The sequence below is a fragment of the Homo sapiens genome, chromosome 12, assembly GCF_000001405.40.
Source record: "Homo sapiens chromosome 12, GRCh38.p14 Primary Assembly".
Lineage (NCBI taxonomy): Eukaryota > Metazoa > Chordata > Mammalia > Primates > Hominidae > Homo > Homo sapiens.
The window spans coordinates 133,103,350-133,130,381 of NC_000012.12; the positions used below are offsets into that span (position 1 = coordinate 133,103,350).

At 39.3% G+C, this 27,032-nt stretch overlaps 2 protein-coding genes and 1 pseudogene across 10 annotated transcripts in view, besides 2 other annotated features; 2 read left to right on the forward strand and 1 right to left on the reverse strand.

The window, feature by feature from the left end:
- The window catches only part of ZNF140 (zinc finger protein 140), a 27,004-nt gene extending 22,925 nt beyond the window's left edge, over window positions 1-4,079 (forward strand). For 8 of the 9 annotated variants that reach the window (XM_011534834.4, XM_011534835.4, XM_011534833.3 and 5 more), the window contains one exon: window positions 2,161-4,079. In XM_011534834.4, coding sequence (XP_011533136.1) covers window positions 2,161-3,302 — 1,142 coding nt within the window. In that variant the 3' untranslated portion in view covers window positions 3,303-4,079. The remainder of the gene's footprint in view (window positions 1-2,160) is intronic. The other variant, NM_001300777.2, reaches the window with a different exon arrangement.
- Window positions 1,430-26,925, reverse strand: ZNF891 (zinc finger protein 891). The gene is made up of 2 exons (NM_001277291.2): window positions 26,878-26,925; window positions 1,430-18,675 (listed from the first exon to the last, which is right to left on the reverse strand). The coding sequence occupies exon 2, from the start codon at window positions 18,567-18,569 to the stop codon at window positions 16,935-16,937; it is 1,635 nt and encodes a 544-aa protein (NP_001264220.1). The 5' UTR covers window positions 18,570-18,675; window positions 26,878-26,925; the 3' UTR covers window positions 1,430-16,934.
- Window positions 19,783-19,952: an enhancer, noted in NCBI's record as "experimental_26217 CRE fragment used in MPRA reporter constructs". NCBI's record gives its function as "activates a minimal promoter by MPRAs in K562 erythroleukemia cells, with activity observed for the non-introgressed 12:133699803 variant allele {active_cell/tissue: K562}" and the evidence as "EXISTENCE:reporter gene assay evidence [ECO:0000049][PMID:34662402]".
- On the forward strand, window positions 22,117-22,638 carry RPL23AP67 (ribosomal protein L23a pseudogene 67; annotated as a pseudogene).
- Window positions 26,541-26,720: a silencer, noted in NCBI's record as "silent region_5135". NCBI's record gives its function as "represses an Ori minimal core promoter by ATAC-STARR-seq in GM12878 lymphoblastoid cells {active_cell/tissue: GM12878}" and the evidence as "EXISTENCE:reporter gene assay evidence [ECO:0000049][PMID:35858748]".

A 27,032-nucleotide genomic window follows, 5' to 3' on the forward strand; every position in this document is an offset into this window, starting at 1 on the left:
CTGGGTTCAAGCAGTCCTTCCAGGTCACTCTGTCAAGTAGCTAGAAGTACAGATGCACAGTACCGTGCCTAAGTTTTAATTTTTTTTTTTTTTTTTGGGTAAAGACAGGGGTCTCACTTTGTCACTATGTTGTTTAGGCTGGTCTCAAACTCTAGGACTCAAGTGATCCTCCAGCCTCAGCCTCCCAAAGTTGGATTACAGGCATGAGCCACCACACCCGGCCCCAACAGCTTTCTATTTTTTTTTAATGTCCAGGTTCACTTGGTATATTTCAGTTCCCAGTAAGTTTCCTTGAAGCATTTCTAGATGAAGCCTTTATTTATTGGAGTGGATTTTTAAATCTTATCTCTGGTCTTTTATACAATTTTTACCCTAAGTATAATGAACTTGCTCTTGTGTCTTATATCAATATTTTCTTCTGTGTTCTCTTTCCCTATTTATATTCTCAGTTCCTGAAAAGAATTACTCAGTTCACATCTACAGAGTTCTTATTTAGGTACTCAGTAGATACAGAATTGGTTTAAAGAAGAGGCAAGAAAGGAATTTAATGTTTTATCTGCATTGACACAATTATTTTAAAAGCTGTTTCACTGCCTCCCCATCTTGATCTTTCATGTATTTTGTATACCTACCATATAGGTACAGATCTTGATCCATTATTGAGATATGAATTAAATATTTCATCAAAGAAACAGTCTATTTACCTTTCCTTAAAAGCTTACTGTGAGAGCAATAACAGATAACATTTTTCCCAAAGTGCCAACGTATGTTTGACTGAAATGACAAATGCGTTTTTAGATGTTATTGGGAATTTTAAGCTTATGTAAAAGTTATAAGAATAGTACAAAGAATGTTCACATTCACCTTTGCTTGTACACATTTGCCTTATCATTTGGCATATGATTTTTCTTCTGAAACATTTGAGAATAAGTTCTATATATTATGGCCTTTTACCTCTATACACTTAAGTGTAGATTTCCTAATAAGAATTTCCTAAAGATACAATTTTTTTTTTTTTTTGAGACAGACTCTCGCTCTGTCACCCAGGTTGGAGTGCAGTGGCGCAATCTCGGTTCACCGCAACCTCTGCCTCCCAGGTTCAAATGATTCTCCTGCCTCAGCCTCCTGAGTACCTGGGACTACAGGTGCATGCCATCACGCCTGGCTAATTTTTTGTATTCTTAGTAGAGACGGGGTTTCACTGTGTTAGCCAGGCTGGTCTCGATCTCCTGACCTCATGATCTGCCCGCCTTGGCCTCCCAAAGTGCTGAGATTACAGGCGTGAGCCACTGCGCCCGGCCAAGAGTATGAATGTATTTTTAAGGAGACACTTCATATTATTTCAAAATTCTGTTCCAATTTAAAAATGATGAAGTCCCTCGTTAAAATTCAGCATGGAGAAAATTAGGGCTTATATTTGTCAAACACATTTGATATTAAGACACTTTATTTTTCTGTCCAACTTTCATTTTAGGTTAAAGGTTACTCATGTTACATGAGCAAATTGTGTGTCATGGGGGTTTGGTGTGCAGATAATTTTGTCACCCAGGTAATCAGCATAATGCCCAATAGTCAGGTTTTTAATCCTTACCCTCCTCCCACATTCCACCCTCAAATAGGTCCCAGAAAAGACATAATTATACCAAATATGAGCTTCATACTAGTTCAGAAGGTAGAGTTGGAGGATCATAGGCAAGTTTTCAGAGAAACCGCTTTTTTTTTCATTTAGATTATTATAAGATGTTCCAGAGGCACTAAGTGAACAGAATCTAATGTCTTTGTGCAATCTGACGAACACTTAGTGTTTAGTAGCAGCATTATGAAATTGCCATTTTTAGATAATTCTGGCAGTAAATACCGTTTAAATGGTGGTGAAGAAGACTAGCAACCTATCCTTCACAAATATTTCCTGATAGCTCTATTTTCCCTGCTCTTTCAATTACTTACGTTTACACTTTCTCTTTATTTACCTATATGTCTATCTCTGTTTGATCTTTTCTGAAGTTCTGGGCATACTACTCAGATTTCAGTCACAGCTGTGAAAGCTGCTATTGATAAGATTTTTTGAAACTTCATTCTGTTGCTAAAGAAGGGAGAAATGGCCTTATTTTATTCAATACAGGAAAAAGAAACATTCACTTTTTTTTTGGTATCTTTCAGTTTCAGAGTCAAGTGGTGAGATCAAAGACTTTTCACCAAAAAATGTCATTTATGATGACTCATCCCAGTATTTGATCATGGAAAGAATTCTAAGTCAAGGCCCTGTGTATTCCAGTTTTAAAGGAGGCTGGAAATGCAAGGATCATACTGAGATGCTGCAAGAAAATCAGGGATGTATTAGGAAAGTAACAGTCTCTCATCAAGAAGCCCTGGCTCAACATATGAATATCAGTACTGTGGAGAGGCCCTATGGATGCCATGAATGTGGAAAAACTTTTGGTCGACGCTTTTCCCTGGTGTTACACCAGAGGACTCATACTGGAGAGAAACCATATGCATGTAAGGAATGTGGCAAAACCTTTAGCCAGATTTCAAACCTTGTGAAACACCAAATGATACATACTGGAAAGAAACCCCATGAGTGTAAGGACTGTAATAAAACATTCAGTTACCTTTCATTTCTTATTGAACACCAGAGAACGCACACTGGGGAGAAACCTTATGAATGTACTGAGTGTGGAAAGGCCTTTAGCCGTGCCTCCAACCTCACTCGACATCAAAGAATTCACATAGGAAAGAAACAATATATATGTAGGAAATGTGGTAAAGCATTTAGCAGTGGCTCAGAACTCATTCGCCACCAGATTACACATACTGGAGAGAAACCTTATGAATGCATTGAATGTGGGAAGGCATTTCGCCGTTTCTCACACCTTACTCGACATCAGAGCATCCATACAACCAAAACCCCGTATGAATGTAATGAATGTAGGAAAGCTTTCCGTTGTCACTCATTCCTTATTAAACATCAGAGAATTCATGCTGGAGAAAAGCTCTATGAATGTGATGAATGTGGTAAAGTTTTCACTTGGCATGCATCCCTTATTCAACATACGAAGAGTCACACTGGAGAGAAACCCTATGCGTGTGCTGAATGTGATAAAGCCTTCAGCCGGAGCTTTTCCCTCATTCTACATCAGAGAACTCATACTGGAGAGAAACCCTATGTATGTAAGGTATGCAACAAATCCTTCAGCTGGAGCTCAAACCTTGCTAAACATCAGAGGACACACACTCTTGACAACCCCTATGAATATGAAAATTCATTTAATTACCACTCATTCCTTACTGAACACCAGTGAATTTACACTGCAAAGAAAAACTATGAATGTATGGAATTTTTTAAAAAGAAGTATAATGCCTTACTTCAGAGAACTCTTGGAAAGAAGCCTTATGTGAAAGTGATGACTGTGAAGTAATATGGCCCACACTTTATTCACCACCCTGGAGAAAAAAAAACCCAGGAATATGTGGAAAAGCCATTAATAACCACTCTTTTATTTTTTTGCAATAACAAGGTGAAATCAATATTGTTGAGAAGATTCTTCCATCTGGTAATGTTGAGAAGACTTCATTTGGTAGGAGTCCCTTACTTTACGTGTGTAAATTCCTACCAGGAAAGAATACATATCCAATAGATTGGAGAAAGCCAGAGATTAGCCCTCATTCCGCATCTGTCAACCAGGACAGAAAGCATGGACAAGGGATGAGCTTTACAAAGATGATGCACTTTGGAGATCAGAAAATTCATATTTAAGCAAAGTGATACAAACACAGTGATTTGGGAATGCCTTCATTTACAATGCAATACTTACATTTTAATACTCTTGTAGGAGAAAAAGCAACTGTATAAATGAATGTAGAGTGACTTTCTGCAATATTTCAAACCTATATCAGAGAATTACACTGTGGGAAAACTACCATTGTAATAAGTGTAGCAAAATCTCCTTAGATATCTGAAAAGTCATACTGGATGGAATCTGTAGGAAACGGTTCTATTTTGAGGGAAGGGGGATTCCTTTTTGTTTTTTAAGTGAATTCAGAAAATGTTATAAATAAATCTTTTGGTTTATTATAAACCTTCTGCTTGCTGATTTTTTCCCACAGCATGTGATTCTGAAAATGTAACTACAATATTGACATAAAAAATAAACAGTAGTTTTTCTTGTTGAAACATACAAACATAACAAAGTGTTTTTAGGTGTTTTATGATTTTAACTTTCAGACAGAGTTTGGATTTAAGGTAATGCTGACAGTTATCCTTGAATCTGACTATAGACATTTGTTATTCAGTGTGAAACAAATATAAGATACATCACAGAAAATTACCAAGGTATTCTTCCTGTTTTGTTCCATGTACGGTGAAAACCGTTCTTTTGTAAGCAGGTATTTAAAACTGTTCTGGCATTACCACCTGCCCAGCTGACAAAGGTCACACCATCAGGGTTAGTTTGCCTTAATCAGGAAGGTAAGCAATTTTATTTTGTAGAAAGAGAGGTAGAGAATATGAATAGGAATGAATTTAGTGAGCATTAATGTAATGGCTGCATTGAGGGCACATTTGTAGGAGGTGTTATTAGATAAATATAAGTAATTTTGTAAGAGGTGAAATTTATAAAAGTTTTAGCCCAAAAACACCTTATTTACATGTACTAGAGTTCTAAATACATTATCAGAAGTGTATTTCCTCAAACCTGCCATTGGCATGCCATATTGGTACATACATTTAGAAGCTTCTCAAGTTTCCATAAGAGTTGTTTCAGAGAGGCTGATTTATCTTACAATAGTGTACAGTCTGACTCGAATACAAGCAGCATGCCTTACTACGTATGGGTATCTAATATCTGATTTGATTTTCTCAAGCAGCATGCCTTATTACATATGGGTATTTAATATCTGATTTGGTGTCCTCAAGCAGCATGCCTTATTACATATGGGTATCTAGTATCTGATTTGGTTTTCTCAGGCAGGAATGGTTTGTATCAGGGTAAAAATCAAGTTACCCTGTCAGCAAAATTAGGATATGAAAAATTCATTATTTATTTATTTAAGAGTATACTCAATTTCTCCCATTATCTGCTCCACATCCACTTTCCTTCCTACTGTTTACTCTGTGGGGATGCACCTCATGAACTATATCAGAGGTCATCAAGCTACAGCCCATGGGCCAGGTATTCATTTACATAGTCTATGGCTCCTTACCTCTATAACTGAAGAGTTTAATATACAGCCATAAAGGTTAAACATTTACTATCTAGCCCTTTACAGAAAAACTTGGCCAACCCCTGACTACATCAAATCTTTGCCCTCTAGTTTTTGTTGAGTGCAGCCAACATTGAGAACGTTTACTTTGGAGCAATCTCCAATTAACCAAAGTGATACAAACACAGTGATTTGGGAATGCCTTCAATTACAATGCAATACTTAAATTTTAATACTCTTGTAGGAGAAAAAGCAACTGTATAAATGAATGTAGAGTGAATTTCTGCAATATTTCAAACCTATATCAGAGAATTACACTGTGGGAAAACTACCATTGTAATAAGTGTAGCAAAATCTTCTTAGATATCTGAAAAGTCATACTGGATGGAATCCAGTGTCCAATCTTTTGGCATCCCTGGGCCACATTGGAAGAATTGTCTTGGGCCACATATAAAATACGTGAACACTAATGATAGCTATCAGTTATTGTGGCTCAAGAAAATTCTTCTTCTGGTGTAGCCCAGGGAAGCCAAAAGATTGGACACCTCTGCTTTAGAGGGAGATGTAACTATCAATGAATTATTATGTTCATTTTTTCCCTTAGCCAGAGAAAGGCCAAAAGACATTCCCGTCAGGGTATTAAGAAATACATTGGTGAGGAGTTTACCACCATCCTTGGACAACTCTGTGGTACCCACCCTCTCTAGACTGTAGATGATGCAGAACTTCTATAATGAAAGTAAGATCCCAATTTCAGTAGAGATCATAGGATCTTGGCATGGGAGGGGTTGGGTAAAATCTGCACAAGAGTCCAAGGGATGCACTGTTAATGAGAATTTTAACCATATAGGTGGCAATGGCTAAATGATCATAGGGTTCCTAGAAATAAATTGATAGCCCACAAACATACTACTTGACATATGGTTGAAGCCAGTTCACTTAAATATTCTCAAGTTCACTTAAATATTCTCAACTAAGGGAGAGGCAGGTCCCTTTAAGAAAAACTATTGCAGTGGGGGACGGGGGGCTCATATGTACACTGTGAAAAACTGCTAACCTCTTTTCATACTGAGCTAAAATATCCTTCAGAAATAAAGATGTTTCAGAATAAAAATAGAGGAAATTTACGGTAGCATTCTTATGCTAAAAGAAATAATTTTTCAGGCAGTATGAAATGATCTTAGAAACTTGGAAATGCAGAAATAAATAACACTGGAGGGGTAAATATGTTGATAAATACAAGTCAGGTGTTGGGAAATTATGGTCTATGGACCAAATCAAGGCCTTTGAGCTAAGAATGATTTTAACATCTTTAAAAAGCTGCTTAGAAAAATAAGAATATGCAACAGTTACCATATATGGCCTGCAAAACCTAGAATATTGGCCGGGCGTGGTGGCAGACGCCTGTAGTCCCAGCTGCTTGAGAGGCTGAAGCAGAAGAATGGCGTGAACCTGGGAGGCGGAGCTTGCAGTGAGCTGAGATTGCGCCACTGTACTCCAGCCTGGGTGACAGAGCGAGACTCCGTCTCAAAAAAAAAGAAAACCTAGAATATTTATTTACTCTCAGGACCTTCAGACAAAGTTTGTCAACTCTGATATAAATATTTACTTTCATAACAATATCTGGTGGATTATAAAATACACCGAAGTAAATAGCACGACAATAGCACAAGAAAGGAGGGAGACGTTTAAAAGATGAGTCTAGGAATATTGCAAAAGTAGTAAAAGTATTAATTTGGCTCTCATGATCTGGGGACTGGTTAAGTGTGTTCTATTTGGGGAAATTCATAAAGCTGCATGCCTTTATGTATTATTCTTCAGGAAAAAAAAGTTTTTTAAAAGAAGTCTCCCAAAAGGTTATTAAAACTAATCTTCAGCATTGGAAAAAGAAGTTACTATGAATGCAGAAAGGCGACAGAACAACAGATGCAATCAATATTAGTAAAGAATAGTCATGGGAGAATGACCACAATTCTGTATTTTCTTGGAAAGCAACAATCAAATGCTTTGGGAGACTTAAGATACTCACAAATAGGTAAAGCTGGGTTAACTTTTGTTGCTGTGATGTGCCCAAAAGAATTTTCTATCATACATCAATGTATGTAAGGCAGGGGGCTAAGTGACTTGTGCCTGTAATCCCAGCATGATCCCAGCATGGGAGGCTGAGGCAGGCAGATCACTTGAGGTCAAGAGTTTAAAATCAGCCTGGCCAACATGGTGAAACCCCATTGCTACTAAAAATACAAAAAATTAGTTGGGTGTGGCGGTGCATGCCTGTAATCCAAGCTACTCATGGAGGCTGAGGCATGGAGAATCACTTGAACCCAGGAGGTGGAGGTTGCAGTGAGCCGAGATCACGCTACTGTATTCCAGCCTGGGCGACAAAGCAAGATTCCATCTCAACAAAACAAAACAAAACCAACAAAAGAAAAAGAAAAGAGAAAAAGGACAGGAAATTTGTTAAATCCCTCTGAAGAGATCCAAGAAATTTCAGAGCAAAGAGAGGTAGCAAAACCTGCCTATTGGGTATGATTGATTTGGAAGAAAGAGTCTGAGTCCTTAGCAACTCATTCAAAAAGTCTGCCTTTAAAAGGCAGGACATAGAAAAAGTGGCAAAAAGTGTAAAAAATTATCTGGTATGTTAACAATTCTTTTAAGGAAACAAAACAAAAAAAAATAAATTATGTAACCCAGCACTTTGGGAGGCCAAGGCAGAAAGATTGCTTGAGCCCAGGAGTTTGATACCAGCCTGGGCAATGCAGTGAGACCCCATTTCTACAAAAAATACAAATAAAAAAATTATCCAGGTGTAATAGCACATGCCTGTGGTCCCCACAACTGAGGAGGCTGAGGTAGGAGGATCACATGAGCCCAGAAGGTTGAGGTGGCAGTGAGCTGAGATTGTGCCACTACACTCCAGTCTGGGCAAGAGTGAGACACTGTCTCAAAAAAAGGGAGAAATAAATATTACAGAAATAATTTTTTAAAATAAATTCTGCATCATGAACACCCTCAATATCACAAAGGACAAAATTGCATGGAAAAAAATGGATATTGCATCAAAAAATATTTTAGAAAAATCAAAACTCCCATGAAACTGTGCTCATAGGTAGAAAATATAATTTTATGTATTTGACATGCATTTCTTAAGTTAGAGGTGAATTTAAGTCATGACATGTATTAGCCATGAATTTCCTGTTTATGCTAAAACAAATCTCATTGTCTTTTAAAAAGTGAATGCAACTTATGGAAAAATTAAAAAGGAAACCCAGTAACTTACAGAAAATTAAAAAATAAAGAAAAATAAATAAAAAAGTGAATGCTAAGGAAATTAGTTTTTGGCATTCAAATTTCATACATGAACTATTGCAAATAGCTTCCTAGTCTCTCAAGATTTTTTTATACAAAAATGTGATCTTTTTAAAACAAATAATTTCAATCTCTGAAAAACTTAAATAGTTCCTCATAACTCTTCAAATAAAGTATAAACTCATGTCATAGCTAGCAAGGTCTTTATCTGGCCCCTGCCTCCTTTCAATCTGGTTTCACATACTCTTCTCCTTACCCCTTTGCCTAACAGTTTTCCATTTACTGGACTTACTTTCTGTTCCACAAATATGTCAAATCCTGATGAGTCTTTTTGCTCTTGCTGTTCTATTTAGAAAGCTCTTCCTCTGTCCCTCCACCCTCTGCCCATGGAGCCAGAAGAAGGAGCTCCCTACTCCTTCTTTAACTTCGTATTTCAAGTTAAATGTTATTTTCTCATGGAGACCTTCTTTTTTTTTTTTGAGACACAGTCTTGCTCTGTCACCCAGGCTGGAGTGCAGTGGCACTATCTTGGCTCACTGCAACCTCCGCCTCCTGGGTTCAAGTGATTCTCCTGCCTCAGCCTCCCAGTAGCTGGGACTACAGGTGTGTGCCACCACGCCCAGCTAGTTTTTGTATTTTTAGTAGACATGGGGTTTCACCATGTTGCCCAGGCTGGTCTTGAACTCTTGAGCTCAGGCAATCCACCCACCTCTGCCTCCCGAAAACACTGGGATTACAGGCGTGCGCCACTGCGCCTAGCCCTGACTGCTTTTTCTAACACAATTCCCTGTTCTTATCAGAGAAACTTATTTGTATCCTTCATATTTTGAATTCTGCCTAGAGTAAGAGGAAGTCTAAAAAGTATCCACACCCTTTATCAACACTTTCAAAAAGTTTGCCTTTAAAAAGTAGGAGATAGAAATGGTAAGTTAAAAAATATATTTTCCCCAGCACTTTGGGAGGCCGAGACGGGCAGATCACGAGGTCAGGAGATCGAGACCATCCTGGCTAATACGGTGAAACCCTGTCTCTACTAAAAATACAAAAAATTAGCTGGGCATGGTGGCGTGCGCCTGTAGTCCCAGCTACTCGGGAGGCTGAGGCAGGAGAATGGCATGAACCCAGGAGGTGGAGCTTGCGGTGAGCAGAGATCGTGCCACTGCACTACAGCCTGGGCGACAGAGCAAGACTCTGTCTCAAAAAATATATATATATATATTTATATTTATTTATTAAAAATATATTTATAAAATATAAAAAAATATATTTTTCAATTTTTTTAATCTGGTATTTAAAAAAATGAAAAGAATCTATGTGTCCAACAACAGCCTAAGCAAATTATTTACTTTACAACTTTGAAGATATTAAAATCATGCTTTAAAAAGTATTTATTAAAAAGTTAATGATAGAATTATTTTTAAGAAATAGACCACAGCTCTGTTCACTAAACTAGACATCTTAAAAAAAGACAAAAGAAAAAAATTATGACATAACCATTGATAAAACTTTGGTGTTATGTCTTTCCATATTTTCAATGCACACACACATATTTATAACATGCATTAAAAAGTCATACCATATTTTGTGACTGTTTAAAATTCATAATGTATCAAATATATCTCCACATGTCAATCCACACAAATACATTTTAATGACTGCATTATATTCCATTTTATTGACTGTTACTGGGAATTTAGGAATTTTCCAGTTTTTCACTAGGGCATGAAACAGGTGAATATTGTTACTTATACATGAAAAATCCTTTTATAAAATCTCAGTTTAAAATTGCTGGGTTTTAAATATTTAAAGGTTATAAATATTCCAGCTTTGGACATTTATTGCTTTACTGTCCCAAGTTTTTTTTGGTTTGTTTTTGTTTTTAGACAGGGTCTTACTCTGTCACCCAGGCTGGAGTGCAGTGGTGCACACAGCTCACTGCAGACTCAACCCCACTGCAGCTCAAGTGATCCTCCTACCCCAGCATCCCTAGTGGCTGGGACCACAGATTCATGACACCATGGGTAATTTTTTTTTTTTGGTAGAGATGGGGTTTTGCCATGTTGCCTAGGCTGGTTTCAAACTCCTGGGCTCAAGCAATCTACTCACCTCAGCCTCTCAAAGTGCTGGGATTACAGATGTGAGCCACCACACCCACCCAGTAAGTTTGTACTAATTTACGCTTCCATTGGTAGTCTAAAGCAAGTATACGACACACCCACCAATACTTGGTCAACTCATCCCTTTTCATATTATAATACATAATGGAACAGAATATGAACACTTGCTCTACAAAAAATAAGTCTGTGTAGTGAATGGGGTGGTGGTGAGTGGGATGAGGGAAGAGAGGAGAAGGACTAGGAGAGGGACATAATATAAATAACATTAAACTGCTGTTGTCCTAACAGTCTTAGTTTCTGCACACCTGTTATGGTGCAACATTTTCCTATACCTAGAAGAAAAATTAATTCCATGCATTTTTACTATAATGGAGTCTCATGTTACTCAGGCTGGTCTCAAACTCCTGGGCTCAAGCAATCCTCCCACGTCAGCCTCCAGAGCAGATAGGACTACAGGCACAGGCCATTGCACCCACCTCCTTGCAACTTTTACCTTACAATCACTTAAATAGCTTTTAAGTTAAACTTCCACTAGAATGGTAAGTAAAAGAAAAGGCACAAAATTTGCTGAAGAACCGTAAATATTTAACTGAACACCTACACTGGGCCAAGTAATAAAACAATGAAAAATTTAGACAAAGTTCCCACCTTACCAAAACTTACAGTGTAGAGGGCACAATACACAAACAGGCAATACAGTGTGAAAGTGTGACAAGTATTGTTAAAGCAGATGAAGGACACAATACCTAAAGGATAAATAGGACAGGTTAAATTAGGGAGACAGTGAAGATAAAGGGAATAACCAGAGATAAGGCCTGAAAAGGCAAGAGTTTGAGCAAGGTCTTGTAAAAAGATTTTATCTTAACTGGAGAAAAAGGCCAGAAGAAGATTAAACGTGAAATGTTATGTGATCAGGTTAGTACTTTAGATGGATCACCCTGGGAAGTGTAGAGAACAGTTGATAGGAAAGCACAATATATAAACAATATTATTGATTGCAGTATTGTTATAAAAACTCTGGAGGCAAATGGATCAAATACATTATGGTACAAGCATATAATCAAATACTAAGCAGCTATTACAAATGAAATAGAACTACATGCACTGACATGGAAAGATGTTTAAAAAGATGTTGGATAGGCTGGGGGCGATGGCCTCACAATCCCAACAATTTGGGAGGCTGAGGCAGGCGGATCACCTGAGGTTAGGAGTTTGAGACCAGCCTGACCAACATGGAGAAACCCTGTCTCTACTAAAAATACAAAATTAGCCAGGAGTGGTGGCACATGCCTGTAATCCCAGCTACTTGGGAGGCTGAGGCAGGAGAATTGCTTGAACCCAGGAGGCAGAGGTTGCTGTGAGCCGAGAACGTGCCACTGCACTCCAGCCTGGGAAAAAGCAAAACTCCTTCTCAAAAAAAAAAAAAAAAAAAAAAAAAAGATGTGGGATAAAAGGTATAACTCAATTTTTATAAAATGTTTGTATGTACATAAAGTCTGACAGAATGCACATTCACCTACGATATTAATTTTTTAAGGCAGTAGAATCCAGGGTTTCCTTCTGTGTAGGGCAGAAGTTATTTACATTGTTTTCTCCTATGCATGTATTAGTTTTATTATTAAAAACCACAAAGTTTTTGTTTTGTTTTGTTTTGTTTTTTAATAGGATACCATGGCAGCTGCATAGAAAACATACTAAAGGAAAGTATGATTCAAGTCAGAGAAACCAGTTAGGAGGCTATTGCAATAAAATCCAGGTGAGATGCTGGGCGAGACTGTGCCTGAGTCTACCTCCTGGTGTACAGGATGAGTATTCCTTATTCAAAACACTTGGGACCAGAACTGTTTTGGATTTTGGAATATTTGCATTATACCTACTAGTTGAGCATCACAAATCTGAAAATCCAAAATTTTAAATGCTCCAATGAGCATTTCTTTTGAAAGTCACATCGGCGCACAAGGTTTCAGGTTTTGGAGCATTCTGAATTTCAGATTTTCAGATTTGAGATGCTCAATCTGTTCCAAGATCACTGGGCCAAAATTAGAGTGTAAATTCCAGTCCTAACCAAGCAAAGTACAATCCCTTGCTGAGTACTCCTTAAGATGATCTCACCCAAGGACCACATGCAGTTGGGACGATTTTCTTGAGACGGAGTCTTGCTCTGTCACCTAGGCCGGAATGCAGTGGTGCGATCTCGGCTTACCACAACCTCTGCCTCCCGGGTTCACAGCATTCTCCTGCCTCAGCCTCCCGAGTAGCTGGTACTACAGGCGCCCACCACCACACTTGGCTAATTTTTTGTATTTTTAGTAGAGACGAGGTTTCATCATGTTAGCCAGGATGGTCTCAATCTCCTGACCTCGTGATCCGCCTGCCTCGGCCTCCCAAAGTGCTGGGATTAGAAGCGTGAGCCACTGCACCCGGCCAGTTGGGACCATTTTCTAACTACTGATGGCTAGTGCTATACCCACCAGGGCTGCTAACACCTGAAACCACTTGGTTTCACAGCATGACTGCAGGCTCTCCTTTCCAAGCTACAAATGAATCCCAGTAGACCTAAATACCCATCATCTTCTTACAGACTGCTGGGATTTAACCTATACTCCCTCTAAATTTTGTTTTCACTGGTCATAGCCCCTGATCTGGTCTTTTTTCCTCTATCAATAATGTCATTACAATCTTCTGTATTCCTCAGGCCAAAGCCAGAAACCCTAAACCCCTGCCCTTCTGGAGACTCTTTCATGGTGCCCTCTGAGATTCCCTTAATAAACTCCCTTAATATCCTCAACTATTTCCCTGAACATTTCCTTTCATTAATTTAAACTTGGCTGTTCCCTGGGAAGGAAAAAACACCTACCTGACAACAATCACATCACAAGGGGGCTTATTCTCATGTATTCCACATATCCACAGGTTGGAAGTGGGATCAGTATCTTCCTTACTCCCTAACACTGCTTCTAACCATTGCAGCCTGGAGAAAACCACTCCTTCCTTTGAAGTTCATACCATCTAGTTATACCACTTTCTCCCTCTCTTCCTTGCTATCTTTTATTTAAATGACCTCTCCTCAATCACATAGACTTTGCTACTTGCTTTGCTGTCTTCTCCACTGATGGCTCTATTGATAACTTGGAAGGACTTTCAAATACATAGAGATCTTCTTCACTAAAACCTCCTTGCAGAATTTCATCCACCTTCCTCTTAGCAGATAATCTTACCATGAAACCTATAATCATATATCTATATTTTACTGGCCAGGAACAGTAGAAATGGCATCAAGGCTACAAAGAGGTTGGGATAAGTAGTTTTGTAGCTAAATACAATACTACTGTTAGCAAAACTGAAGATCTATTCATAAAGAATAAAAAATATATATATTTGGTTAGTAATTAGCAGTGGCTGCCACACAGTTCTTAGGAAACACAAAACATTATATAGTTCACATATTCTGATCACTGCTTAGTACAGTTAGGTGTAAATAAATAAACAAGTAATTTAAACCAACCCACCCATTTTTCTACTCCTGAAAGAATGGTGGGAGTATCCCTCCGCCTCATGGCAAACACCAATACTTTTGTTTGTGCTCTAAACATCTACACCCCATTCTCAGAAGCTTATATTAAACTTTATTATGCTGCATATTAAACCTCACCATACTACATTCATCACATTAGAATTCAAACATGTTCTAGTTTTTCATATTTTAAACATATTATCTCTTTACTCCAAATCTCTCCAGCTACTACCCTTTCTCCTATTATTCAAACTTGTCTACATCCAGTCTTTACTTCTTTGCCCTTTATTGATTCCTAAAGTCAGCCCAATCTAGCAACCATCTTCATTATGTACCACTATGTTATTTCCAACTACAATCACAAATGATCTTCACTTGGCTGTATATGTTTACCTTTTTAGACTTCATCTAATTGGATCCCTAAGTAACACTAAAAACATTTACCTTCACCTTCCTTTTTTTTTTTTTTTTTTTGAGATGAAGTCCTGCTCTGTCACCAGGCTGGAGTGCAGTGGTGAGATCTCATCTCACTGCAACCTCTGCCTCCCAGGTTCAAGTGATTCTTCTGCCTCAGCTCCTGAGTAGCTGGGACTACAGGCATGTGCCACCACACCCGGCTAATTTTTGTATTTTAGTAGAACCAGGGTTTCACCATGTTGGCCAGGATGGTCTCGATCTGACCTTGTGATCCGCCTGCCTCAGCCTCTCAAAGTGCCAGGATTACAGGCGTGAACCACCACACCTGGCCAACTTCACCTTCCTTTTTGAAACTTGTTTGTCTTGGTTCAGTGAAACTCCACTCTTCTTGTTTTCCTCTTATCTCTCTACTATAGTTCCTTTAAATGTATGTCTTCAGGGTAGGTGGCAGACCTTCCCTTTTCATTCTTACTCACCTTCCAAAGCCTGTTATTGTCTCTTTACTGATGTCACTACAATTTATATCTCTATCTAGACACCTCCTCAATTCTAGAATTGCGTACCAACCTCTTCATCTGGATGTCTCACCATCCTCTGAGGCTAACATGAATAACTACAACAGCAGCTACTGCCTTCTTTCTTCCACCGTATGCCACTCCTTCCATATTTTGTTAGAACTAATCTGGTCAGTATCTGCAAGATCAAGCAGCAAAATCTCATGCTTTACTTAGCATTTAAAATTGGTAACTTCCCCTCTGTCTGAAAACTTTCTGTAGTTCCAATGCTGAAATGTTGGGATACTCTTTTTGCTGTTCTAAACACTTGCTTTCAGTGATCTTGGTTCTATCTTCATCTGCTGCTTAAGCATAAAAGCTCGGTCAACATTCCTTTTCCATACTTTTTTTCTATGTTCCTCTTCAAATGTGTACATCCAACATAAAACATTTAACTGTATATACTTCTGTTTTTCTACAATATGGTGACTGCGTTGACTGTATTTATGTAGTGCTTTAAAAAAAATCAGTAAGAGCCAGGCATGGTAACTCATGCCTGGAATCCTAGCACTTTGGGAGGCAAAGGCAGGAGGACTGCTTGAGCCCAGGAGTTTCAGACCAGTCTGAGCAATGTAGGAAGAGCCTGTCTCTACAAAATATATATTTTTAAAATTAGCCAGGCATGGTGGCATGCATTTGTGATCCCAACTACTGAGGAGACTGTGGTGGATCACCTGAGCCCAGGAGGTCGAGGTTGCAATGAGCCATGACCACACCACTGCATTCTAGCCTGAGAGACAGAGACTCTGTCTGAAAAATTGAAAAAAAAAAAGAAAAAATCAATTAACATATTTTTCTTGGCCGGGCACAGTGGCTCACGCCTGTAATGCCAACACTTTGGGACGCCTAGGTGGGTGGATCACCTGAGGTCAGGAGTTTGAGACCAACCTGGCCAACATGGTGAAACCCCGTCTCTATTAAAAATACTAAAATTAGCCAGGCATGGCGGTGGTGCCTGTAATCCCAGCTACTCAGGAGGCTGAGGCAGGAGAATCACCTGAACCTGGGAGGTGGAGGTTGCAGTGAGCTGAGATTGTGCCACTGCACTCCAGCCTGGGCAACATACCGAGACTCCATCTCAAAAAACAAACAAAAAACCTTATTTTTCTCATGTAGGAACATATCCAGATACAAGTAGTGCAGGGCTGGTACAACTATTTAAAGATTTCTTTGAGGAACAGGGATCTCTTTCTTCTACTTCATCCCTTGGCTACAGCTGTCATTTTCATGATCACAAGATAGCTCTTTCAGCAGCTTCAGGAATGGCCAATTCATAGGGACAAAGATGAAGTGCAAAAAGTAGAGGACAAGATAGATAGTTCTGATCCCAGTGATATGTCTATTTTTGAATCAGCAAGAATGAATGATATGGCTACCCTTAGCTACAAGAAGTCAAAGAAGCGTTCTATAACCAGAGACCTTATTGTTCTTGGCTAAGATGGAATTCATTAGTAAGGAAAGATGAGCTCAAATGTTTGGTTGGCTGCTAGCAATACCAGTCTCACTGGGCCAGAAAACAACTTTTATAAAAACACCAACAAAGCAGTAAAATATAGTCCAGATTCTCTGAACACAATGGAATTAACCTAGAAACCAACAATAAAAAGATAACTGAAAATATACCTACCTCACATATTAAAAATACCTAATTCTAAACAGCCATGGATCAAAAAAAGTCATAATTAGTATTTACAGAAAATGTTATATTAAAAAAAGAGCCATTTGTAACCTTAAATCGTTCTTTTAGAGAACAAAGACTGAGACAAGGAGCTTGGAATCCACCTTAAGACAATGAAAACAGCAATTCCACATTCATAACACTTACAGGGTTTCTCTCTCAGTATGAATTCTCTTGTGTATAATAAGTGAAGAGCTCTGACTGAAGGCTTTTCCACATTGAATACATTCATAGGGTTTCTCTCCAGTGTGAATTCTCACATGCCTCCTAAGGGAAGAGGAAACACTGAAGGCTTTCCTACATTCCTTACATTCATAGGGTTTCTCTCCAGTGTGAGTTCTTATATGCATTCTAAGGGATGAGACCCCACTGAAAACTTTCCCACAGTCACTGCATTCATAAACATTCTCTCCGGTATGAATTTTCTTATGAACTTTAAGGTGAGAGCTCGTGTTGAAGGCTTTTCCACACTCACTGCATTCATAGAGTTTTTCTCCAGTGTGTATTCTCTTGTGCACTATAAGGTAAGAGCTTGTGCCAAAGGATTTTCCACACTGATTACATTCATAAGGTTTCTCTCCAGTGTGAGTTCTCATGTGAGCCTTAAGGGATGTTTTTTGACTGAAAGCTTTTCCACATTGATTACATTCATAGGGTTTCTCTCCAGTGTGAGTTCTTACATGTCTCCTTAAGGTTGAGGAATCATTGAACACTTTACCACATTCTTTACATTCATATTGTTTCTCACCCATGTGACTTTTCTTGTATAAAGTAAGATTAGAAATCCTTTTGAAGGCTTTTCCACATTGATTGCATTCATGTTTCTTTTCAGTATGAGTTTGTCCTTGTTTCTTAAGGGATGATTGATGACACAGCGTTTCATCTTTATTACATTCACAGGCATTCTGTGCCATATGCAAATTGTTAGGTACAGGAAACATATTATGTGTGAAGTGCATTCCATGTTTAGAATATGTGTACTCTTTTTGTACTGTTTGATTTCTCTGAAAATGCCATAGAGTTGTATCACATTCATGACTTTCATAGAGCTTCTCACTTATAGAGTTTTTCACATAATTGTTTATGATTGAATTGTGTTTCAAACATCCAATCTCTGAGTAACATTTTTGGCAATGTTTACTGGTGAAAATGCTCTGTGAAAAAATAAGTTTTGATCCAAGTTTAGAGTTTTCCTCTAATTCATGATAGTCACGGAATAGCTCCTGAGGTACTGTTTTCTTTGGGGCATATATCATTTGCCTCCAATGTCCCCCTGGAATCTTATGCTGTTTTCTGATCTTATGGCATTCCCAGTCTTCTCTTAATGTGGAGGACCAATTATGCATTGTGAGTTTTATCATTTTCACTGCATTGGATGGTTCCTCCCACAAAATTTTCTGCACAGTTGATTCTTTGGTTTTAGGTTGAATCTTCTGGTCTGGACAGATGGCTTGGGGAATTCTCTTTTTCATATTCCTTATCTCTTCTTGATCCAATGGGGAGATCACAGTAAGCCTGTACAACTGATATTCCACGGAGGTGAGATTTCTATAGTTTTCCAACATCACATCTCTGTACAGACTTCTTTGAGCAGAATCCAGCATCATCCACTCCTCCTGAGTGAACTCCACAGCTACATCTTTGAAAGTCATTGGTTCCTGTAACCAGGTTGTCAGAAATACAGCAATCATCCTTTCCTCTTCAGCATTTCTCAGATGGAAACAGGCAGAGTCCTGTTTAGTTAAAGCCCATGGGGAGGATAGGTCCATAACTGCCATTTTATGAGTACATAAGCCTGCACAGTAGAGTAGAGAGATCAGGATGTTTCTGTTCTTGTGTCTCCAATCCAGTCACAGGAGGGATGCATTTCACCCGAAGTTCTCCCTGTAGCCAAAGAAGCAAGTTCAGGTAAAAGAAGAAAGCTGGAAACAGGGCCCCACTTGGGGAAAGGTGAATACAAAATTGTAGACCCTCCCCATTACCTCTCAGCAAGGTCTAACCAGCTTAAAATCTTTACTGGGATTTGTACTGACATGCAATATAACGATCCTTACCCACTTCAAGAAATGCCATCCTGATTCTTTGTACTGGCTTCTCCTGCAGACCACTTTGAGCTCTGGGTGAATGGGGCATGAGTTATTTTTAAAAATGTAAACTAAAGAGAACCAACCAGTAAAAAATGCATGGCTGTCAAATTAAATTTAATGTACTATTTGCTACTTTTTTAACTTTTGGGGACAGAAAAACAAACAATTTCCCTGTGAAACACACCTGTTTCATATAAATTTCTTCTATAACTTGTTTACAAGAATAACCTTACAGGACTGACAACTTGGCTGCTATCCTACCAATGAATTTTATTGAAGTTAAAGGTGTATATGTGACTTTGAAACAGATGTTCACTTCAATGAGAACATACGGACACAGGGTGGGGAACACGCACTGGGGCCTGTCGGGTGAGGGCAGCAGGGAGAGCATTAGGAAAAAGAGCTAATGCATGCCAGGCTTAATACCTAGGCGATGGGTTGATAGGTGCAGCACATGTTTACTTAACAAACCTGCGCATTCTGCACATGTACCCTAGAACTTAGAATAAAGAAACAGATGTTCATTTGATTATTACTTCCAGTTTAACCTCCCTCCCCAAAGTCCATATTGTCATCTATGATAATTTATTCTATCTAACACTTGAATGGGGTCAAATGACAAAGGAAGAACCATGAACTGCATTCCCAAGTTTAGGAGTGAGGCACTAACTATTAACATTAGATATTGTACTTTCCTGGATAATTTTTATAATGGATTTAATATAAATAACAAAATAACATATAGCGTAAATACAAAAGATACATGCTTGGGGACTTTAAGGATCATGACAAATCACAAAACAATTTATTATACTAATATTTTTAAAGTTCTCACTTTTGGAAGACTAGGTAGTTAACCGTCAAATGCAAGTCTTTTCTGTGAATACTGTACATCAATAGAACTCAGTTTTAATGGACAAAATTATAGAACTGACATTTTTATTTAGACAAAGATCTTTATCAGGTAGTCTATGTCCCTAAACCAGGAGCGTATATAGGTCTGTCACTTTAGGGAAACTCATTTAGAAATAGATTTTGTCTGATTTGTTTACTGCTATATTCCTAGTACCTAGAAGAGTCCTCAGCCCATGGCAGAAACTCAACAATTTGAGTAAACCAAATGAACCTATGATAATTAAGGTTTTGTGCATGGGGGTATTTTTTCCACACCCACACCCTTCTTTCAAGAAGGAAAAGGAAATTGTTAGGCTTCTGGGTTGGGTACAGGGGCTAATGCCTGTAATCCCAGCACTTTGGGAGACCAACGCGGAGGACTGCTACCAGACTGGGCAACATGGTGGGACTCTGGGTCTCTACAAAAAATTTAAATATTAGCCAACCATGGTGGCATGCGCCTGAAGCCCCAGCTACTCAGGAGGCTGAGATGGGAGGATCACTTGAGCCCAGGAGGTTGAGACTGCAGTGAACCATGTTCATGCTACCACACTCCAGCCTGGGCAACGGAGTGAAATCCTTTGCTTGAAAAAAAAAAAACAAAAACACACACAAACAACAACAACAACAACAACAACAAAGTTAGGCTTCCTCTTCAAGAAAGAAAATCTGTTTGCCTTGTAGTAAAAGATATTAAGAATTGTATTGCAGGTTTAACCCTTCATTCCTCATAGTTTTCTTTCTTTTCTAGTTATAGCACTAATTACAAACACTAAACAACTTTACTAAACAATAGGAAAAAATATTTGAATAAATGGCGAGATTCACTAGGTGAATCACCATGGGATTTTGATTAATCTATGTATTTAATAGGGATTTCCTGAAATGTAGCTTTTAAAGTTTTATAGAAAACTAAAGATATATAAAAAATCAAGGCAAATACTTTAAAATGCCTTACCCTATTATGTTTCAAAATACATTATAAATCTCTAGTAAGTAAAACAGAATGATATTAGGGCAATAATAGAAAACAAAACAGTATCTTCAGAAACAGATTCTGTGTAGCTAGACATTTAGTACATAACAAAGATGGCACTTTAAATCGGTGGGGGGAAGGATGAACTATTTAACAAATGATATCAAGACAAATGGCTTTCTGTTTGGAAAAAAACACACCCCTCACATTCACAAATTCCAGATGGATTAAAGATATGCATATGTGTTGAACAGGAATTCCAGAAGAGGAGAAAAAAGGGAACAGAAAAGAAGCAATGTGAGATATAATGAATGATTGTTTTTACTCCAAGATGAAAGAAGGATATATAAGTCCTTGATCTGAAAGCCTATATACCATGTGCCATGTAGAATACATTTTAAAAATACATCAGCTACCAGCTACACTGAAGGTAAACTAGAATATCAAGAATAATGTGTAAAACTTTAAAGTTACCGAAGAAAAAAGGCTAATTATCTACAAGGGAATATCAATTATACTGACTACAGACTTCTCAGTTGCAAAGATAGAGGCCAAAAAGGCAATAAAATAATATCTTCAAAGTACTAAAGGAAAACAACAACAACCTAGAATTCAATCGTATGCTAAAGACTGAGAGCAATATAAAAGGCCTTTTATATTGCTCTCAGTCTTTAGCATACGATTGAATTCTAGGTTGTTGTTGTTTTATATGGGTGTTCTATATGGGTGTGTGTGTTAACCACTCAAGATAGTTCCTGAAGGAACTACTAAAAGGATGTAAGCTGAACTCAGAAGAAAGCAGAGGGGTGTAGGAGTAAAACAAAAGCAAAGAAGGAATTCAGAGGAAACAATGTAAGAAACAGAAAACAACAAACTTCAAAGCAACAACAGCATATTCAAAAGAGCACACAGCAAGGGATATTGGAATTAAAACAATATGGAGACATAATTTTTCTATGGAAAAACCATACAGACTTCAAATTGTATAAACATTATCTGGACCATGAGTCAAAGAAATGAATTTTAAAAATTCACGAGAAAACGGAAAAATCTGAACACTGCCTATACATTAGTTACTTATTTTTTAGAGACAGGGTGTCACTATATTGGCCAGGCTAACCTTGAAATCCTGGCTTAAGTGATCCTCCACCTTAGCCTCTGGCCTCCTGAATGGCTGGGACTACAGGCATACCCTCCCCACCCCATCCCTTGGCTTTTGCCTATAAATTTGATATAAAGGAATTACAAATTTTGCAGGTGTGAGACTATCCTACTTAAAAAGGAGTACTTATCATTCAGAGATGCATTCTGAAATATTTGCAAATAATATATAATGTCCAAGATTTGCTTCAAAATAGAACAATGGGGCCTTTTTCACAAGATGGCACTGATGGCGAAGAAGGAAACTCCTGTCTCTCCTATGGCTAAAGCCAAAGCAAAGGCTTTGAAGGTCAAAAAGGCAGTGGTGAAAGGTATTCACAGCAACAAAAAAAAAGAAGATCCGCATGTCACCCATCTTCTAGCAGCCCAAGACACTGAGGCTCTGGAGGCAGCCCACGTATCTTCAGAAGAGCACCCTCAGGAGAAACAAGATTGACCACCATGCTATCATCAAATTCCTACTGAGTCTGCCATGAAGAGGATAGAAGGTAACACACTTGTGCTCACTGTGGATCTTAAAGCCAACAAGCACCAGGTCAACATGCCCTCCTCACAGGCTTGTGAAGAAGCTCTATGACACTGATGTGGCCAAGGTCAACACCTTGATCAGGCCTGATGGAGAGAAGAAGGCATATGTTTGACTGGCTCCTGGTTCCCATGCTCTGGATGTTGCCAACAAAACTGAATAATCTAAACTGAGTCCAGCTGGCTAATTCTAAATATGTACATCTTCTCATCAGGAAAAAATAAAATAGGATGATTGGTACACTGTACTACTATATTTGTGTATGTGTTTGAAAACTTCATAATTTGAAAAATAATCAGAGAGATATTTCCTCTATGAAATAAGAATACAACTCTATGGATTTTTTTTAATTTCCCAGGAAGTTAAAAATTATAATTTAAAAACTCCCCAAAAAGGTACAAGGGTTAAAAGATAAACTTAGGGCCGGGCACGGAGGCTCATGCCTGAAATCCCAGTACTGAGGCGGGTGGATCATGAGGTCAGGAGATCGAGACCATCCTGGCTACTGTGAAACCCCATCTCTACTAAAAATATAAAAAATTAGCCGGGCGTGGTGGTGGGTGCCTGTAGTCCCAGCTACACGGGAGTGTGAGGCAGGAGAATGGCATGAACCTGGAAGGTGGAGCTTGCAGTGAGCCGAGGTCGTACCACTGCACTCCAGCCTGGGCAACAAAGCGAGACTCCGTCTCAAAAAAAAAAAAAAAAAAAAAGATAAACTTAAGGAACTTTTCTAGAAAGCTGATCTTGGCTGAACACAGTGGCTTACGCCTGTAATCCAGCACTTTGGGAGCCGAGGTAGGCGAATCACTTCAGGTCAGAATTCTAAGACCAGCCTGGCCAACACAGTGAAACCCCGTCTCAAATAAAAATACAAAAAAAAAAAAAAGCTAGATGTGTTGGTGCACACCTGTAATCCCAGCTACTCGGGAGGCTGAAGCAGGAGAAATGCTTGAACCCAAGAGGTGGAGGCTGCAGTGAGCCGAGATGTGCCACTGCACTCCAGCCTGGGCAACACAGTGAGACTCTGTTTCAATAAATAAATGAATAAATAAGTAAAGCTGATCTAAAAGAAAAAGTAAGAATAAATAAAAAAAGACCACTATATGAGCAATTTAAGGTACCCCAGATTACTCAGAGTTCCAGAAAGAAAAAACAAGAGGAAGAAACAAACAAGTACAGGAAAACTTTTTTTTTTTTTTTTTTTTTTTGAGACGGAGTCGCCCAAGCTGGAGTGCAGTGGCACAATCTCGGCTCACTGAAACCTCTGCCTCCCGGGTTTAAGCAATTCTCTGCCTCAGCCTCCGAAGTAGCTGGGATTACAGGCGCCGGCCACCACGCCCGGCTAATTTTCTTATTTTTAGTAGTAGAGATGGGGTTTCACCATCTTGGCCAGCCTGGTCTTGAACTCCTGACCTCATGATCCACCCACCTCGGCCTCCCAAAATGTTGGGATTACAGGCGTGAGCCACGGTGCCCGGCCAGAAACTTCTTATTCCTTAAAAAAACACAGTATCTAAGAACTGATCCATCAAAGCAAGTAATTTCTTTAAATAATTAGAACACACATCATCATGAAATTTTTGAATACCAAAGAGCTCCAAGAGATGATAAACAGATTACACATAAAAGAACAAGGTATGAAATAGGACTTCTCAACAGTAACAGTAACACTGCTCCATTTCCTATCTAGCTTCACTGGCTTTCAAAATTCTAATGGAAAGTAATTTCCTATTGAGATGTGTATACTCGGTGAAAACACCACACAAATGTGAGGAAAAAGTAATTTCTAATCATTTCTACAACTTTAATATATGTAGATCATATGGACCCTTTCTTCAAGGCAGTTAAGATTACAATCCACCAAACAGGAATAGAAGTGCTTTACAGGAAACAGGAGATTTAACACAGAGGTGAGATGAGGAAATTGATGAGGGCAAAAGGGAAGCCCAGTGGTATGCCAGCGTGCTGCATGCCTACAGAGTAACTGATCAATCTACATTGCAGGGGGATGTCCAGGAAAGGAGAAAAGTGATAAGACTGTATGACAGATTAGCCCTTGAGGAAAATGGAACCAAAAGACATTTTACATAGATTTAAGAAAAACTAAGCAAATGAATAAAAAAGGCAGTCATTAAAAACAAGAAAGGTAAACCTTGCACAAGAAAGAAACATATTATGGCTCAGTACTAAAGAGTAGTCATCAAATGAAAACACTGAACATATTTATCCAAAATTTGTGGGAGAACTACATTATAATATTTGTAAAATAATTACATTGTGATTTAAGGATGTAGAAAGAAGGCAGCCAAAGTTCTTATTTAACATGATAAAAATTTTAAAATAATGTCACAAATCGGTGAATAAAAAAATACTGAGAGGAGTTCGAAGCCAGAACTGCTTAAATATTTCCAAGTGGTTGCCACTGGGAAGAGATGGGGTTAAGGTGTTTCCTGTTTTTATTATGAGTCTTTTAACATATTCAGCTCTTAAAAATGTACACACACATTTCTTGGAGCACAAATAAAGAGTAGTAAATTAATTACCCAGTCAAATCAAGAAGCAGATGGCCAGGCACGGTGGCTCACGCCTGTAATCCTAGCACTTTGGGAGGCCAAGGCGGGCGGATTGCCTGAGCTGAAGAGTTCGAGACCAGCCTGGGCAACACCGTGAAACCCCGTCTCTACTAAAAAATACAAAAAATTAACCGGGCATGGCAGTGTGCGCCTGTGATCCCAGCTATTCCAGAGGCTGAGGCAGGAGAATGGCTTGAACCCGGGATGTGGAAGTTGCAGTGAGCAGAGATCCTGCCATTGCATTCCCGCCTGGGCGAGAGAGAGAGACTCTGTCTCAAAAACAAACAAACAAACAAAAACAAAAATTAGCTGGATTAGCCGGGCGTGGTGGGGCCTGAGGCAGGAGAATCGCTTGAATCCGGGTGGTAGAGGCTACAGTGAGCCGAGATCACGCCACTGCACTCCAGCCTGGAGACAGAGTGAAACTCTGTCTCGAAAAAAAAAAAAAAGTAGAAAAACAGAGACAAAGTAAAAGAAAAATTTAAAAATTAAGAGCAAAACTTACTGTAATAGGACCCCCCTCCCCAAAAAAGACCAAAACAAAACAACAAAAAAACCAAAACCAAATCTACATTTTTGAAAAGACTATGTACACATATACCTTATAGGAGTAATCAAGAAAAAAAGGCCTAGATAATTAGGTTCAAAAAAGAAAAAAATAACAATTACAGCAGTAAAATATTAAAAAGTGGTGATTTTAAAAATCACCATAGAAATTACTTACAGTGATAAAATAGCATGGGCAATTTTATGCCAATAAATTTGAAAAATTAGATTAAAAACAATTATCTAGGAAAGGTATCTAAAACAGAATACGAACTAAAAAACCTAATCAATGAGACTTTTTAAAAAATTGAGTCAGGGCCGGGTGCGGTGGCTCACGCTTGTAATCTCAGCGCTTTGGGAGGCCGAGGCAGGCTGATCACCTGAGGTCGGGAGTTCCAGACCAGCCTGACCAACATGGAGAAACCCCATCTCCACTAAAAATACAGAATTAGCTGGGCGTGGTGGCTCATGTCTGTAATCCCGGCAACTCACAAGACTGAGGCAGAAGAATCACTTGAACCCGGGAGGCGGAGGTTGCTGTGAGCCAAGATGGCGCCATTGCACTCCAGCCTGGGCAACAAAGAGCGAAACTCTGTCTCAAAAAAAAAAAAAAAAAAAATTGAGTCAGAAGTTAAATGCGTACTAAATATTTTAAGACCAAATAGCACCAAACTTTTGGAGGCGGGCGGGGGGCGGTGAGGGGTGGTGACCTGTTTTACAGAATAGAAGAGAGACTGTGCTGTCCAAATTATTCATGAAGCTTGTAAAATCTTGTTAGTATAACGGGCAAGGATAGTACACAAAAAGATTAAAACACAATCTTGTGAGCATAGGTGAAGTCAAAGGGAAACAGCCAATTGAATACACCAGAGTATTAAAGAAATAAAACCATATCGCATTCAACCACAGTATAAGGCAATAGGTGAAAAAAACGATGGCTGTGATTCAACTCATTACTAGGTTTAGAGATTCAAGAGAGGCTGCTGGACAGAGGCGTGCACCCTTTAGCCCTCCCGTGTTGCTTAGAGAAGGAGGCAAACGCGCATCCCCGGCCCCCCAGCGCTCCCTGCGTGGCACCCGCAGCCAGCCCGGGACCCCTCCGCCCCGCGCGCCCCTGGTCCCCACTCGCTCCCCGCGCTCCACTCGCACCCGGTAAGTAGCCCCTCCTCCCTCAAGGGCCTCTCCCACCGCCGCCTCCCGGGCAGGCTCCCTGCTGCTCAGACTCCCGTGAGGCGATCCCTGCACGCAGGAGAACTCAGCGGGCCAGGCTGATCCCACGAGGGACTTGTCCCGGGTGAACGAGCCACAGGCCCGCATGCTCACCCGTCCTCAGTGCCTGCCTCCAGGCGTCCGCGGTCCCGCCCGAGGGGGACGCGAGGCCGAACTACGTTTCCCAGGAGCTCCTGCGCCGCCCCGCAGAGGGGCCTGGTCTGTGCGTCACGGACGCGCTCTGGGCCGAAGGCCCGCAGGGTCCGGCA

Excerpts from the sequence above, each read along its gene's own strand:
- ZNF891 (NM_001277291.2), bottom strand. The coding sequence starts at position 18,569 with ATGGCAGTTATGGACCTATCCTCCCCATGGGCTTTAACTAAACAGGAC.